General features: G+C 41.5%; 1 protein-coding gene and 1 pseudogene across 1 annotated transcript in view, besides 1 other annotated feature; one reads left to right on the forward strand and one right to left on the reverse strand.

Moving 5' to 3' along the window:
• RNU7-94P (RNA, U7 small nuclear 94 pseudogene) lies at positions 631 to 693 on the reverse strand (annotated as a pseudogene).
• Positions 6135 to 6429: an enhancer, noted in NCBI's record as "tiled region #12855; HepG2 Activating non-DNase unmatched - State 5:Enh, and K562 Activating DNase matched - State 8:EnhW". NCBI's record gives its function as "activates a minimal TATA promoter and a strong SV40 promoter by Sharpr-MPRA in HepG2 and K562 cells {active_cell/tissue: HepG2 | K562}" and the evidence as "EXISTENCE:reporter gene assay evidence [ECO:0000049][PMID:27701403]".
• The window catches only part of TCP11L2 (t-complex 11 like 2), a 49069-nt gene continuing 48574 nt past the window's right edge, over positions 15639 to 16133 (forward strand). Inside the window, exon 1 of the mRNA XM_047428667.1 lies at positions 15639 to 15676. The gene's annotated coding sequence lies outside the window, so the exon portion shown is untranslated. The remainder of the gene's footprint in view (positions 15677 to 16133) is intronic.

The raw sequence follows: 16133 nt of genomic DNA on the forward strand, positions 1-16133 counted from the left end.
TTATAACTTGCTTTTTTCACCTGGGCTTGTTTTCATGTGTATACGTACAGATCTACCTCGCTGGAGCCTGGGAATTCAGTGTGTGAATGCTTTGTGATATTTAGTGGGTCCTCTATTTGTGGACATTTAGGTAGCCTCTTGTTTGTGCTTCACTACAGATCTTCCCAGAGTTATGAACACCCAACTTATGAATCAGTCCCATGCTGGCGCTTTCTCCTACCCTATCCTTCCTCCTTACCCCAGCAGCCTGCAACCGAGCTGTCCTGGCCTACTTGCTCCACCTGGTGGTCAATGTGAGATATTACCTAGGTTTAGTATTTTTCTCTCTAGAATCTCCTGGTCTCTAGCTTGCCCTTCTCAAATCCATCTTGTCCCTGGCAGCCAGAGTGATCTTTCTAAATACAAATCTGATCTTCTCACTCTCATGATGAAAACGCGTCACCTAAAACAAACATAGACCTCTAAGCAGAGTATACAAAGCAGGAATACTTTGACCCTTGCCCACCTCTCCAGCCTCAATTTTCTCCTCCTAGCACTTTGTACCCTAGCAATACATAACCAATTGTAGTTCGTTAAACACACAGTGCTGCTTCCCACATCCATATATTTGTACCTGTTGTTTTCTTTTCTTTAGATTTTTCTGGTAAAAACCGGGAAACCTGCCACACAAATTGTAAAAGAGCTGTAACACTGCCACCTGCTATTTTCTCTCCCTGGAGTATCACTCTGCCCACTCCCATTCCATGTTTGCCAGGCAAACTCCTATTCAGCTTTTAGAACCCTACTTAACAGACGCCCCCCCCCCACTCCCTGCAGTTTTGCCTTTTCCCTCACATGGAGTTGATCACTCTTCCCACTATACCTCTAATGCCAAACCCATAACGTTTGATTATAATTATCTGTTTATATGTTTGTCTCCTGTGCTAAACTGGCTGCCTCCCTGAACCCCATCACTAAGCTTGAGGACCAGAACCGTCTCTTGGTCATTATCCTCTCTCCAGCGTCTTCCACAGTGCCCAGAACATAGTAAAGTAAGGTTAATAGGCAGATATTGAAAGAAAAAGAACTAACTACATCCACAGTCTCAAGGGAGTGGCACTGCATGCTTCTTTTTTCCATGTGTGTAGGGCCCGCCAGAGTTAGGAATGCTGTTGTCAAGGCATAAAGTTCAGGGGCTGAGACCAGTCAAAGGAACCACACACTCTATTTTTGTTTTTTTTTTTTTTTTTAGACGGAATTTCACTCTTGTTGTTGCCCAGGCTGGAGTGCAATGGCGTGATCTTGGCTCACCACAACCTCTGCCTCCTGGGTTCAAGCGATTCTCCTGCCTCAGCCTCCAGAGTAGCTAGGATTACAGGCATGCGCCACTACGCCGGCTAATTTTGTATTTTTAGTAGAGACGGGGTTTTTCCATATTGGTCAGGCTGGTCTTGAACGCCCGACCTCAGGTGATCTGCCCACCTCGGTCTCCCAAAGTGCTGGGATTACAGGTGTGAGCCACCGTGCCCAACCAGGAACCACACACTCTTTAATCTTGATCAAATACATTGCCAACTAACATCCACCACTTGGGCAAACCTGAAGGTCATTTGAACCATCCTGAACCTGGTATTCCTCAATTAGTGGTTGGGGAACAAATGACAAAGGGGTTTGGTTTGCAGCTTATAGTCTTGTTCCTTTGGGGGCCATAAGGAAATTGTTCCAATAAATGGAGAGTTTCCTTTTATCGAATTCCCCACGGGAGAAATTGTAGGATCATGGTGACCCTCCTTTTTCCTCATTTGGAATCCAAGGGAAGATGTTTCACCCTTTTACTCTTTCATTCAACAAACATTTATTAAGTGTCAGGCACTTTTCTAGACACTTGGGATCCATTAGTGAACAAAACAATGATCCCTGCACTCATGGAGCTTAATTCTAGTGAGAATAAACAATACAGCACTAATAAACAGAATAAGTAAATACACTGCATCATATGCTAGAAGACAAGTGTTAGGAAAAAAAGAAAATGTCAAGCAGGTTAGGGGGCTCTGTCTATAAAGAGATGCACATAAAAATATTCAAGCGAGCAGAATCCCAGTTGAACTTCCCGGTTGAATCCTGCACTTCCAGTTATGTGAGGTGATTTCCTCACTGTGGAAGCCAGTTTAGATTGGATTTCTGTTCCTTGAAGCTGAAAGTAAACTGAGAGAGCCACCTTGGCATGCGTTCCTTAAGAGCAGTCTTTGTCATCCAGTCATCCCATCTGTTCCCTTGGCAAGGAAAAATAATTACAAGGAGATGCCACAGTCTTAGTTTCCATTTGAGGGTTTTCCTGAGAGCCTCTAATGACACTATGTTCTTTGTCACATACCCGTCAATTGTTTCCACTCCAGCTAATCTCATTCTCATTGTCAAGCATGAGAGTCAGAAAGCTGCACCTCAAAGTGTACCCCCAGGATGTGATTCAAAAGGATCAACATGCAACTGCTGTTCAAGGGCACGCTCTGTCCACAGGGACAAGGCCACCTGCACAACCCCAGCTCAACCACCCTCATCTCCAGCCTGAATCGCTGCCACATCTTTCCAACTGGTCTCCTTACAGCAGCCAGGGTGATTCTTTTAAAAGAGTTATCACGTCCTGTCATTTCCCTCCAATCATTTCCTGTCACTTACAGATACCGCATGATCTGGCCCTGGGTTAGCTCCAGCTTCTCCTGCCAAACTTCTTCCTTACTCGCCATGCTTCAGCGACACTTGCCCCTGCTGGTTCCTTTAGGATGCCAGTTTCTTCTATTCCAGCCTTTGCACCTGCCATTCCTGCTACCTAGAACATTCTTTCCCCAGACATCTGCAGGCTAACGCCCTCGCTTTGTTTAGATTTCTGCTCAAATGTAACTTCAGCGTTGCAGCCTTACCTGACCAAGCTACCTAAAAAAATAGGCCCCCAAGCCCCTCTCTGTTGTCATAGTATTTGTCATACATGAAATTATCACGTGGATCAATTTCTTGGTTTCTGTGCTGCCTGCCTACCCTACTAAAATGTGAGCTCCCTGAGGACAAGGACTTTTCCTGTGTTGATCACTCTTGGGTTCTCCAGATTTAAGCACTGCTTGGCACCTAGTAGGTGCTCAATAAATATTTTCTGAATGAATTAATGACAATCTGACTGACTCTACCTCACTCCATGGCCTAGCAAGAACATTCACACACAGACACACACCCTTTTAAAGCCTCTTCTTCCTTTTCTCTACTCCTCTAATTCTCATATTTTTGGGAAAGCCTTGCTTCCATCTAATCTTTTCAGTCCCCTGATTTAAATATGTGTGTGTGTGTATATATATGTTTATATATAATATATAATATATTTATATATATTTTATTTTATTATATATATTTTTATAGTATATATTTTATATATAATATATATTTATATATTATATACACACTATATATATATACACACACATATATATAATTTTTCACAAAGCCATGTCTGATTAATAATCTGATAACTGCCAAAGTTCTTGGGCTAGGCACTAACAGAGCTGTCTCCAGGAGGCTAAACTATGTTAGAACTGATTAAGGAAGACATCACGATGCTCCAAGCATAAGCAAACAGGAGTGTGTACAGGGTCAGGGAGAGGACTTGCCTCCCACTTCTGCATTGAGCCCAGCACAAGTTTGGAAGCTATGGAAGTATCCAGAGATTGTCTGCCATGAGTCTTGGCTGTCCTATGGCTCATAGTGGCAAAGGTGTCTAAGCATCTCTATGCACAGCAAACCTGCACACGCGATAATCCGAGTAAGAGAGGACAAACAAGGTTAATGGCATGCAGTGTTTGTAAACTCAGAGACATGCATGAGTGCTCAGAACTAACTGCGGGATGGTTTAAAGAAGACTGATTTCCAGCAATACAGCTGGTATGCACTCATGCCATCATAATTTGAATACAAAAAGGAAGTATGACCTCATTTTCTACTCACAAGGTTGTGTGGACTGAGACCAGGAGTAAAACATGAGTTGAAAATCTGAGTTAGATGTAAAAATGAACCAGGTAAATTAATTATCCAAATCATGGATGGGGTCAGTCTTTAGTAAATATACTTCCAAATTCTCCAACTATGTTCTTATTTTTCTTTCCTTCAGTTTGCTTTTCCCCCCAAACATCAACATGCTGAAGAAGTTCTTTAGAAAAACTATATTCACTGTTTTTCAGGTTTGTTTAATTACTGGCATTGTATCATTTTTTTTTTCATTGCAACTACTGGGTATTTCTTTTTTTTTTGAGACGGAGTCTCATTCTGTCGCCCAGGCTGGAAGGCAGTGGCACGATCTCAGCTCACTGCAACCTCCGCCTCCCAGGTTCAAATGATTCTTTTGCCTCAGCCTCCCGAGTAGCTGGGATTACAGGCACGCACCACCATGCCTGGATAATTTTTGTATTTTTAGTAGAGATGGGGTTTCACTATGTTGGGCAGGCTGGTCTCGAACTCCTCACCTCATGATCCACCCACCTCAGCCTCCCAAAGTGCTGGGATTACAGGCATGAGCCATCACGCCCAGCTTAACTATTTGGTATTTCAAAGACATTATTGTTTGAATCGTGTTTTATGAGCCACCTAAGGAACTAAGTTTCCTATGTGCAACTAGGTATTCTTGCCAAGAATCCCTGATAATTACTGGGACGTCGTTTGTTTATAAATCATACATTGGGCTGGGCACAATGGCTCATGCCTGTGATCTCAACACTGGGAGGCTGAGGTGGGTGGATCACTTGAGCCCAGGAGTTCGAGACCAGCCCAGCCAACATGGTGAAATCCTGTCTCTACTAAAAATACAAAAATTAGCCGGGAATGGTGGCGGGCATCTGTAATTCCGGCTACTCGGGAGACTGAGGCAGGAGAATCGCTTGAACCCGGGAGGCAAAGATTGTAGGGAGCCAAGATCGTGCCACTACACTCCAGCCTGGGCAGCAAAGGGAGATGCCATCTCAAAAAAAAAAAAAATCATAAATTGCTCAACAGTGGGTTGCTTTTTTAAGTGCTGATATCGACTATACACAAAATGATCTTGATTCATCTGCTTGCTGTGGCCCAGAAATTTCTGCTTTTGCAGAAGAGAAAATAAGACAGGTAAGGGGCTAGGAAGGGTGGCTGAGAATGAGGCTACAACCTGTGACCCTTCACAGGTCTGTTTAAAACAATAGCATCAATCTTCTCCAGAAAAGTGGCTGTTGGTGGGAAGGTAGCCATAACAAAGACTATTAATTCTGACCTGTGGCTTCTTGTGGTTTAAGAGCATTTTATGCTCTTAGAGCATTTGGAGATCATTTCTTCGAACTGTTCCAACCTGCCTCAAACCAAATATTACCTGATTAGTAAAGAAATAGCAAATTAGTCAAATGTGCATTGCAGGGGGTGTGTGTGTTGGGAGGTAGGTTTCTTCCTTTAACTGACTTTCTTTGAAGACCTACTAGGCCAAATCACTGCTGGAAGAACTAAAGGTTGGGCTGGGGGGTGGTTACAGAGGTGAGTGAAATTTGGTCCCTGCCTTCCAGACACTAAAAATCTAAAGGAGGAACAGACATGAATAGAAATAAATAAACTCAAAAAGGATGTTCTCAGTAGCACTTAATGTCACTTTCACACCTAAGATTTTATTATCCTATTCTATTTATCCATTCAACAAATATGTATTCAGGTCACCCAGGGGAAATTGAAACTGAGGTCTGTGGGGAGTACAGAGAAGGGCATAATTACTTCCAAAGGTGGAGCCGTGGAAGGTTATGATACAGGTTGCATGGTAGCATCTGAGCTGAATCTTAAATGGCAAGTAGAAATTTGGGAGATAGATAGATTTATGGGGTGAAAGATACCGTGAGAAAAGAGTAGTGTATAAGTAAAACCAGGACCCCAAATTTAGGTATCAATAAGTGTTTTAGCATTCCTAAAGTGTGACAAATAATGGTGGGGTTTTGTGGTATGTAGTCTTTCCTAATCTGTGGCAGATACATTCCAAGACCCCTAATGGATGCCTGAAACCATGGATAGCACCAAACCCTATACAGACTATGTTTTTTCCTGTACATACATACCTATGAAAAAGTTTAATTTATAAATAAGGTACAGTAAAAGATTGACAACAATAATTAGTAATCAAATAGAATAATTATAACAATATGTGAGGATCACTACTCTTGTGCTTTGGGGCCATTATTAAGTAAAATAAAGGTTACTTGAACGCAAGTACTGCAATACTGCCACAGTCAATCTAATGGGTTACTGAGTGACTCACATGTAGTGTACACAGCATGGATATGCTAGACAAAGGGATGATTCATGTTTTGGTCGGGTTGGAGCAAGATGGGGCGAGATTTCATCATGCTCCGCAGAATGGCACACAATTTAAAACTTATGAATTGTTTATTTCTGGAATTTTCCATTTAATAGTTTCAGACTGCAGTAGACAGCAAGTAACTGAAAACTTGTAAAGCGAAACCACAGATAAGGGGGAACCACTGTAGTTTTAAAGCATGTCTGCAAATTCTTTGACACTTCCTACAAAAGGTAAAGTCTAATGCCCCTCCCTTCGAATATGAGCCGACTCTAATGACAGGCTTCTAATTAAGAGAATGTAGTGGAAATGACACTTCACAACTTCTGAAGCCAGGCTAGAAAAGGTGATACAACTTCTACCTGGCATGCTCTCATAACATGTGCTTTGGGAACCCATGTGTGAGAATTCCAGCTACCCTGAAGCTACTGGGCTGCAGAGACTACGTGGAAAGGCCACATAGCGAGATGGAGAGATGCCTCAGAGGCCCAGCTACTGGAGTCTTCCCAGCATCAACCACCACCACAAGTGTGGAGATTTTCCAGTGACTCTTACCCTCCACTTTCAAGTCTTCTAGGTCAGGTCCCAGACATTGTGGAGCAGAGATAAGCCTTCCCTGCTGAATCCTGTTCAAATTCCTGATACACAAGAATCTGTGAGCATAATGAAAGGTTGTTTTGTGCCACTAAGTTTAGGGACTAATTTGTTGCACAATCATTATAACTAGAGAAAGCTTGCTAGAAGATAAGGCAGAAAGAATTGGTTGCTTCCCAATCAATGAAGGCCTTGAAGTTTGAGTTTTACTTGGGAGTAATGGGGAGCCACTGATGGTTTTTGAGTAGGTATGTGACATGACACATGATGAGAGGAGGAAGAGAGCAAGATATGGAGTCCATGATTCAGGGAAGTGGTATGGAAGCAGAAACATCGGTCTCTGTGGCTTTCTCTCATCTCCTTGAGAAATCCTGAGAAATATGAAAACAGAAGCATGGTGGGCAGGAATATCTAAGATATACCAATGTATAAAACCACTGCTTCAGGACCTGAATATTACACCAAAAGCTAGTTTTCTCTTTTCTTCCTCTCTCTCTCTCCCTTTTTTTTTTTTTTTAGATTGAGTCTTGCTCTGTTGCGCAGGCCGAAGGGCAGTGGCACGATCTTGGCTCACTGCAGCCTCCACCTCCCGGGTTCAAGTGATTCTCCTACCTCAACTTCCCAAGTATCTGGGGTTGCAGGCAGCAGCCACCATGCCCAGCTAATTTTTTTGTAGTTTTAATGGAGACAGGGTTTCACTATGTTGGCCAGGCTGGTCTCAAACTCCTGACCTCAAGTGATCTGCTTGACTTGGCCTCCCGAAGTGTTGGCATTACAGGCGTGAGACACCGCACCTGGCCTTTTTTTCCCCTCGTTTTCAATGGGATTAAGAAAAAACTAGATTGGCGAGACTTATACAAAGAGAAATCAACTAAATAATGCGAAATGTATCATCCCTCTTGCTCTTTAAGTCTGGCTTTTCCCCGCTAGGTACACACTGCCATTTCTCACCTCTTTGAGTTTTGTCATTCTGTCCCCTTACCTAGAACACTCTGACTCCCTTTCTTCTTCTAGCTAACTCACCCCTCAAGACTCAGCTTTGGGGTAGCTCATTTGTTTATTTATTTACAAAATATTTATGAAGAACCAAATTTTGTACCAGACACCACATCAGGCACTAGAAAGACAGCCATGAAGAAGATTACCTATCTGCGCAGAGTCCAGTGGGAGGAAGAGATGTAACCAGATATATAAATGAAACAGTGATGGTATCAATTTTATTGGTACAATTTTGTCCAGGGCACCCAGGTGCGGTGGCTCACCTTTGTAATCCCAGCACTTTTAAAGGCTTGGGGCAGGAGAATCACTTGAGCTCAGCAGTTCGAGACCAGCCTGGGCAACAAAGCAAGAACCTGTCTCTACAAAAATAAAATAAAATAAAATAAATTAGCTGGACACAGTGGCATGTACCTGTAGTCCCAGCTACTCAAGAGTCCAAGGCAGGAGGATATTTTGAGCCCAAGAGTTCAAGATTGCAGTGAGCTATGATCGTGCCACTGCACTCCAGCCTGGGTGACAGAGCAAGACCCTGTCACACACAAAAAATGAATCTGGAGTCCCAAGAAAGTGAGTGAAGATCCATCCATCACTTCCCTCCTATTTCACTGGCCAGAATCCAGTAAATCCGGTAGTAAGTCAATATCTAACCATAAGGGAGGCTGTGTGACCAGCAGGTAAAGGAAGTAGATAAGTCACTCTCTGGCACATAGTCTACATATGTTCATTTCATTTTACTTTCACAGGATTCCCAATTAGTTAGGCCTGATCATTCTCATTTTATGGACAAGATAATTCAGACTTTGAAAGGTTAAGCAGCTTGCCTAAAATCCTTCAGCATTTAGATAGTAGTGCTGCAATTCAAACAGAAGGTTGATTTTTTTTTTAATAAATCTACCCTCTTTCCACTGCCTGTATGCTATTTTTCCCAACCCTGCTACTATTCCCCAAAAGAAATGTTTATGTTGTTATGTGTCTTTGTAAATAATTATACAGTCATGCATCTCATAACTGTTTCAGTCAATAGTGGACAGTATATTTGATGGTGGTCCCATAAGATTACAGTGTAGCTGCCCTAGATACATGTACCATAATTTATCTTTTACACCATATTTTTTCTACTTTTTGTATGTTTAGATATGTTTAGACACACAAATACTTGCCATAGTGTTACTACAATTTCCTGCAATATTCAGTATGGTAACGTGCTGTACAGGTTTGTAGCCTAGAAGCAATAGATTAGACCATATTGCCTAGGTGTGTAGTAGGCTATGCCACCTGGGTTTGCGTAAGCACACTCTGTGATGTTTGCACAAGGACCTAATGATGCCTTTCTCAGAGTGTATCCTGATCATTAAGCAACCATGACTGTAATTGTTTGAAACACTGCTTAATCACCGTACTTTGCAGAATTCTGGGTAGTCCTAAATGATTCTTCATCTTTCTTGGTTTGCCTGGAGTTTGTTTCAGCTTATCGTGTCTCCAGAAAAACTATGTAGATTTTCCTCAAGAATCTCTGCGGTCATATAGCTTTTGATTTTCTTTAAAGGGACAGAGATCCCTTTGCAATTTAAGCAGAGAGAAGGGAATATATTTTCTTCTTAATTTTCACCATTAGCTCTCTGACCCCTCTGACTACCTTGTCTATTTCCTAATTTTCAGGCAAAGCAGAAAGAAAGAAAAAAGGAAAAAGGAAGTTATAGTCAAAGTTCGTCAGAGTTAACTTCCCTCCTAATCAGTGATTGTCCCTGCCAACTAACTTCCCGCACTCCCAGCCAGTATTTAGAAGTGTGTCTGTAACGTCCTCTTACCAATCAGTATATACAGCACTGAGAAACTACTATGTCACAGGCACCGTGCAAAATAACATAGATTAATTTAAAGATGGATATAGGCCCAGCACCGTGGCTCACACCTGTAATCCCAGCACTTTGGGAGGCCAAGGTGGGAGGATCACCTGAGGTCGGGAGTTCGAGACCAGCCTGGCCAATATAGTGAAACCCCATCTGTACTAAAAATACAAAAAATTAGCCAGGTGTGGTTGTGGGCACCTGTAATCGCAGCTACTCTGGAGGCTGAGGCAGGAGAATTGCTTGAACCCGGGAAGTGGAGGTTGCAGTGAGCCGAGATCGTGCCACTGCACTCTAGCCTGGGCACAACAGAGCAAGACTCCGTCTCAAATTAAAAAAATAAATAAATAAAAAATAAAGAAACAAAGATGGATATAAAGAGTTATTGTCTGAAAAAGGTTTTGGGGCAAACACGAGCAAGCATTGCTCACTGCAGGCTCCAATGCACAGGCAGAAGTATCTCCTATTCTCGTCACCCATGACCAAGAGGTGTATTTGGGTTAGGGCATAGCTGCATGTGCCTCAGATCTGTACTCCAGAAGAGGAACTCCCATACCTGTATTTTCCCCTTTTATGGAGCAAGTATGAGAACGACTTTGCCCAAAAGAGACATCGTGGTCTCAGCCATCAGGTAGTCTGAGAATAAGAGGCAGCTATTGAGGGGAGTGTTGGTAAACACTACCTGCCCAGCATCTGGAGACTTTAGGTGCTCAGGAGAAGTTTAATTTTTGCACAACCCCTCCTGCTAAAAGGAAAAAAAAAAAACCCTGAAACCCTTGTTAGTCCAAAGTCAGGCAATTAATTTGAGCCTCTGAGTTCAGCCTTCAGACAGTTAAATTGCTTGTATTCATGAGTAGAAGACATTCCTTGTGCCCAAGGAACAGTCTGAAGTGAGTGACTTTCATGTCCTCCAATAATTACAGGATATGTGTGATACATGCTGTACATTTAAAAGATTTCCTGAAGTCTGCTTTTTTGCATCTAGTCATGCATAGCAGATTTCATGGGTGAAAACAATGCTTGGGGCCCTACTTTTCTTCATGGAGATGGCAAAAATGCTTAAAGAGCTAGGTGAACCATGTAAATGAATGAAGTAGGCTACATATAAGAGGGGTGGGCTTGTGGCATTCAAATTCAAAGTCCACCTGTGGGCTGAAAGCCACTCATTGCAATGCCCTCTACATCAAGCTTATGGTTCAGCTTTGGACTCCTGAAGAAATGGCGCAGAACCATCTATGTAGATTTAGAAAGTGAATTGAGTTCCTCACCTCATTTGGCAAGAATGGTGAATTTCCCACAGTTCGCAGGTACCTGTGGTTCCAAAGTGAGCTGCCGTTTTTGAAAATTATAAAAGCAACACTGAAGCAGTTTAAACCAATCCAGATTTTTAGCTAAGTAGTTCCAATTTTCTTCCTTATCAGTTAAGCTCATATCAGCCTTATTTTTCAACAATGAATTTGACCTAAATACTGATTTAGGGGCCTGAATCTGTTTTGTTGAGATCACTTGAGAACTTCTTGTACATGTATCTGCTTGGCTACTCCTTTCTCTAGGAAGCCTACCTGGGGGTCGTCAGTTCTGGATTACATGCTCCTTCTATGTGGCCCCTTGGATTGACTTCTATTTGTCAAGGTATAATTTTCAACAAATTGAAAACATGACTTATATGAAACAGAACAAACACGGGCTTAAAAAAATATTTATTTCATCAATTAAAGAGTTAGCCAGTAAAATGGTAAAGTTGGTTTAAGGAATATTTGAGAAATAGGGGTTTATATATCCCATCAAGAAATGCATTTTTAAAAATCTTACAATAAGATTACTAGGTTAGACACAAAATTGGTTAATGTCTTATAAGGTAATAAATAGTAAGCTTTTATCTTTTCTATAGAACAGAAAAGATTTTACTTGTATTAGAAATGGACAAGAATAATTTGCATTGTTATCAATTTTTTGGTGTTTTGTTTTGGGTTTTGGTTTTCGGTTTTTTGACATAGGGTCTCTGTCACCCAGGCTAAACTGAGGTGCCATGATGATAGCTCACTGTAGCCTCGAACTCCTGGGCTCAAGGGACTCTCCCACTTTAGCTTCCTGATTAGCTGGGACTACAGCCACATGCCACCCTGCCCAGCTAAGTTTTGTATTTTTTTTGTAGATACAGGATCTCTCTATGTCGCCCAGGCTGGTCGCCAACTCCTAGCCTCAAGCAACCTGTCCATCTTGGCCTCCCAAAGTGTTGGGATGACAGGCGTGAGCCACTACACTGGGCCCTTGTTATCAGTTTTTGATAAAGTAACATCTGCCTTTACAAAGTTCTGGAATATCTGAACCAATAACGAGTAGTAAGTCCAACAAAGGTACACAGTCCTAGATAATGCATGAATCCTTGTACGAGTCTGCTACTACACTGCACTACACAGCACCCTACTAAAAGGACATCCAGTAATCCCTTTTGCCTATTTCCAAGTCTTTGGATAACGTTTGGATAATTATCCAAGTTTTTGGATCATTGTTCTTAACACAATATAAAGTTATATTATTTTCCTGAATGGATCTGACTTACTGGCCTAATGAGTGGAGAATAGTAATCCTCACATTGATATATAAATACTGGGTGATGTGTTAGGCTCATTTGTGAGGTAAATAAATGGCTCCTGTACCACCAACTTATTAGATTCAAATTTGCTCCTTGGCAGAATTTTAAATTATCGCATGTCACAGACCTTTAAGTTGCCCAGGACCTGTCGAAACTGTAAATATTAAATCATTAAAATAACAAGAGTATAATAATAGTAGTTACAGTTTACTGATCCATACAATGTCGCTGGCACTCTGCTCAACTCTTCATATACATTATTTCTTTTAATTCTCCCACAGGTTATGGAGTATTTGTTCTAGTCAAAGTTCTTAGTGGCAAATAATACACCTTAGTCTGACTAGACCAGAAGGGTCTTCGTAGCTCATGGAACTGAGACCAGAGGGTCTTGGTAGCTCATGGAATTAGCTATCGAGTGACTCTAACATATTTTAGACTGAAGAACCAAGCTTGGGAAAGAACTAAAGGAAGCCAGGCATAGCTAAGAACATGCTAAGGATGCCATAGCTGGTGTCATCAGCATTGGGCACCACCACTGTAGCTCTGTGAATCACCCCTATCTACCTGTGGTGGTCAGCATCTGACAGAACATGCGTAGGTCCCATGCCCATGCTACAGCCACCAGGGTCTGGGAAGACAGAATGCCTTTCCAGCTCCAGTAGTAAAGTATTAATGGGATTAGCATATCATCCCCTCTCTGGCTTCTATAATAAATGATAACAATTCAAATACCATTCGGAAAGCTGGATCACCAAAATGACAAATGGCCCCCACAACATTATTATCCCCATTTTATACCTGTGAGGATAAGGACATATGTATAATGAGTGGTGGAACTTGGCTGTCAACCCTCTGGTCTGTCTGAACCCAAAGCCCACCCTCTTTCCACCATACCACATTTCCTCATTATATACAATTATTTTGTACCTCAGTTGATTAATTCTTTGAAAATTTTGATCTACGTAATGCTTGTAACTTTTAAAAAGTCATTTTTTTAAACGTCCACATATCATCACAGAGGTCTTCCTTTAAATAAAGAATTCAGCTTCAGCATTAAAATTAAATTTATTTGTATAATTATGTTACACCGAGCATTTTTTTTTTTTTAGACTGAGTTTCACTCTGCCACCCAGGCAAAAGTGTAGTGGCGTGATCTTGGCTCACTGCAGCCTCTGCCTCCTGGGTTCAAGTGATTCTCCTGCCTCAGCCTCCCAAATAGCTGGGACTACAGGAGTGCGCCACCACGCCCAGCTAATTTTTTGTATTTTTAATAGAGACGGGGTTTCACCATGCTGACCAGGCTGGTCTTGAACTCCTGACCTCAGTTGATCCGCCCACCTCGGCCTCCCAAAATGCTGGGATTACAGGAATGAGCCACTGCGCCCAGCCTATACTGAGCTTTGTGGGAATTTACTGATAATATACATGCAGATGTACATGTAACATAAACAATGGCATGGCTTGGGATCCCTCTGAGGGAATTGGCCAGAAATGTTTCGTGTGTGCATGTGTGCGGGTGAATATATATCTATGTAAACAGCTTCATATTTTTGTATAAAGCTGCATTCCATTCTTGCTTTCTAGAAGGCACAGCCACCCCAGTATCTGGTCCAGGCACCCTTCTAGAGTAATGGAATGTGATTATAAATACTTTGGGCACTTAGTTGGTACAGAGCTGGTATGCTTGTTGATATGTTGTTATGGAAATTAGATAATTATGCCAATAGGTAATACTTTGCATGTGACACTGCACGTGTATATGTGTGTATTTGCGGAGAGAAGCCATGAAGTGAGTTCTTCTGGTTTCTATTCTTGACCTGCCAACTGAGTGAGTCACTGCTGAGTATCCCTTTAGTCAACATAAACCCTTAGTGCCCTAGTATATGACCTTCCTCTAGAATGCCCAGGAACTCAGGTAAAAGCTACTATTCAGGCATTTGAATGTTCAGAGCTCTCAATTTTTTTGTCTTCAAAATGTACGGCTGGGTGTGGTGGCTGATGCCTGTAATCCCAGCACTTTGGGAGGCCAAGGGGTGGATCACTTGAGGTCAGGAGTTCGAGACCAGCCTAGCCAACATGGTGAAACCCCATCTCTACTAAAAATACAAAATATTAGCCAGGCGTGATGGCACACATCTGTGATTCCAGCTACTCAGGAGGCTAAGGCAAAAGAATCGCCTGAGCTCGGGAGGCAGAGGTTGCAGTGAGCCGAGATCATGCCACTGAACTCCAATCTGGCTGACAGAGTGAGACTCTGTCTCAAAAAAAAGAAACAACAAAAAAAAGGTAGTATAATTATTAAAGTCCCATATAACTTTGAGAAAGGACATTTGTCCAGTTTATCATCAAAGAAAGGGAAGGTTTTAGAGGTCAGAGTTTGGGGCAAAAAACATGTTTAAAATGAAAGCAAACTCCATGCACTTTGGCTATCGAAGAATAGGGCTTGAGGAGAAGAACTTAAAAAGTAAAGATCAATATTCCCCCACCCAGCATTAATAATTTTGACATATCATAGTGAGGGACTTTTTGTAAATCTATTCTTTCATATATTTTACATGAAAAGCTCCATTTGTTGTCATGGCTTTCTTAAATATGAATAAAAAAGAGATGGGAAATTTGCTTATTGTGCAGTATCAATAGCCTATCTTCACTAAGGTATATTTAGGAGGACATACAATAATAAGAATAGTTGCATTGTATGGCAGTGTGAAATAGACTAGTAATATATGAATGACATTCTCATTGTAAAAGAAATAAGCTGCTTGAATGTGTACGGAATAAACCAGGAACTAACTTGCCTAAATAGCCTTCTAAACGGTTGAGATTCTTTTTAGTCCATTTCTATGTATTTCATATACACACAATGCATATGTACTGTCTCTAGTGTAAGCTCTCTCTAGCATAAATCGTGTCACCCCATAATCAGTGTTCTGTAACTCATGTTTTCATGTTGAATCGTGTACCTAAAAAGTCACATTTCTTAATCCTTCCTTTATGTTTTCTGGAGATTGCATCTTATTTTAGTAGCTCTTCCTCATGCCCATTTGACAATTTCATTTGATTTTAAAACTGAGGGCCTGTGTTCATCCATGAACACTTTAGAAAAGCAATCATTTAGAAAATGGTTGATTGCCTGCTGGCCTGGAGATGAGCTAAAGAGAGTGACTGGCTTGGTCAGAGGTCTGAGCCATCACCTGTTTGGCCTCCCATAGGTGTTCCTTTGAGCTTCAACTCTCTTTGGCCCCTCCCACTTCCTGCCCCAAAGTTGTCTTCACTGCTGGTTCTCACTCTTTCTGCTTCCCAGGGGACAACAGTGGTGCCCAGGTAAGAGGAAGGGGCCCAGGGTGGGGTGTAGGGAGCACTAAGAATATTTGTCTTTTTAGTATGTGACAGGGTCAGGGACTGGGCAGTGCCTAAATGTGAAGGTACAGGCAATTGAAATGAGAAATAACTGTTAATTTTTTTACTAATTCAGTTCAGTGGAGTCAAAAGAAAACTGGTTTTGGTGCTTTGGAAAATTGTTCAAGCATCAATTAATAGTCAAAACTGGTCAATTATCTAAATCTACCTTATCTTCCAAATCACAGGATATAGAACAAAAAAAAATTGCCTAAAAGGTGTGGTTAATTTTTTTTAATAGACCTTATTTTTAGAGCTCACAGTAAAATTGAGTAGGAGGTATGCAGTTAATTTTTGAACATTCAGGGCCTAATTCTCTAGTTGGTGTATTAGCCAAATTCATTTTCTTCTTTTTGCTTTCTATTGTATTTTCCCCCTCACT

This window comes from Homo sapiens, chromosome 12 (genome assembly GCF_000001405.40).
Source record: "Homo sapiens chromosome 12, GRCh38.p14 Primary Assembly".
In the NCBI taxonomy this organism is placed as follows: domain Eukaryota; kingdom Metazoa; phylum Chordata; class Mammalia; order Primates; family Hominidae; genus Homo; species Homo sapiens.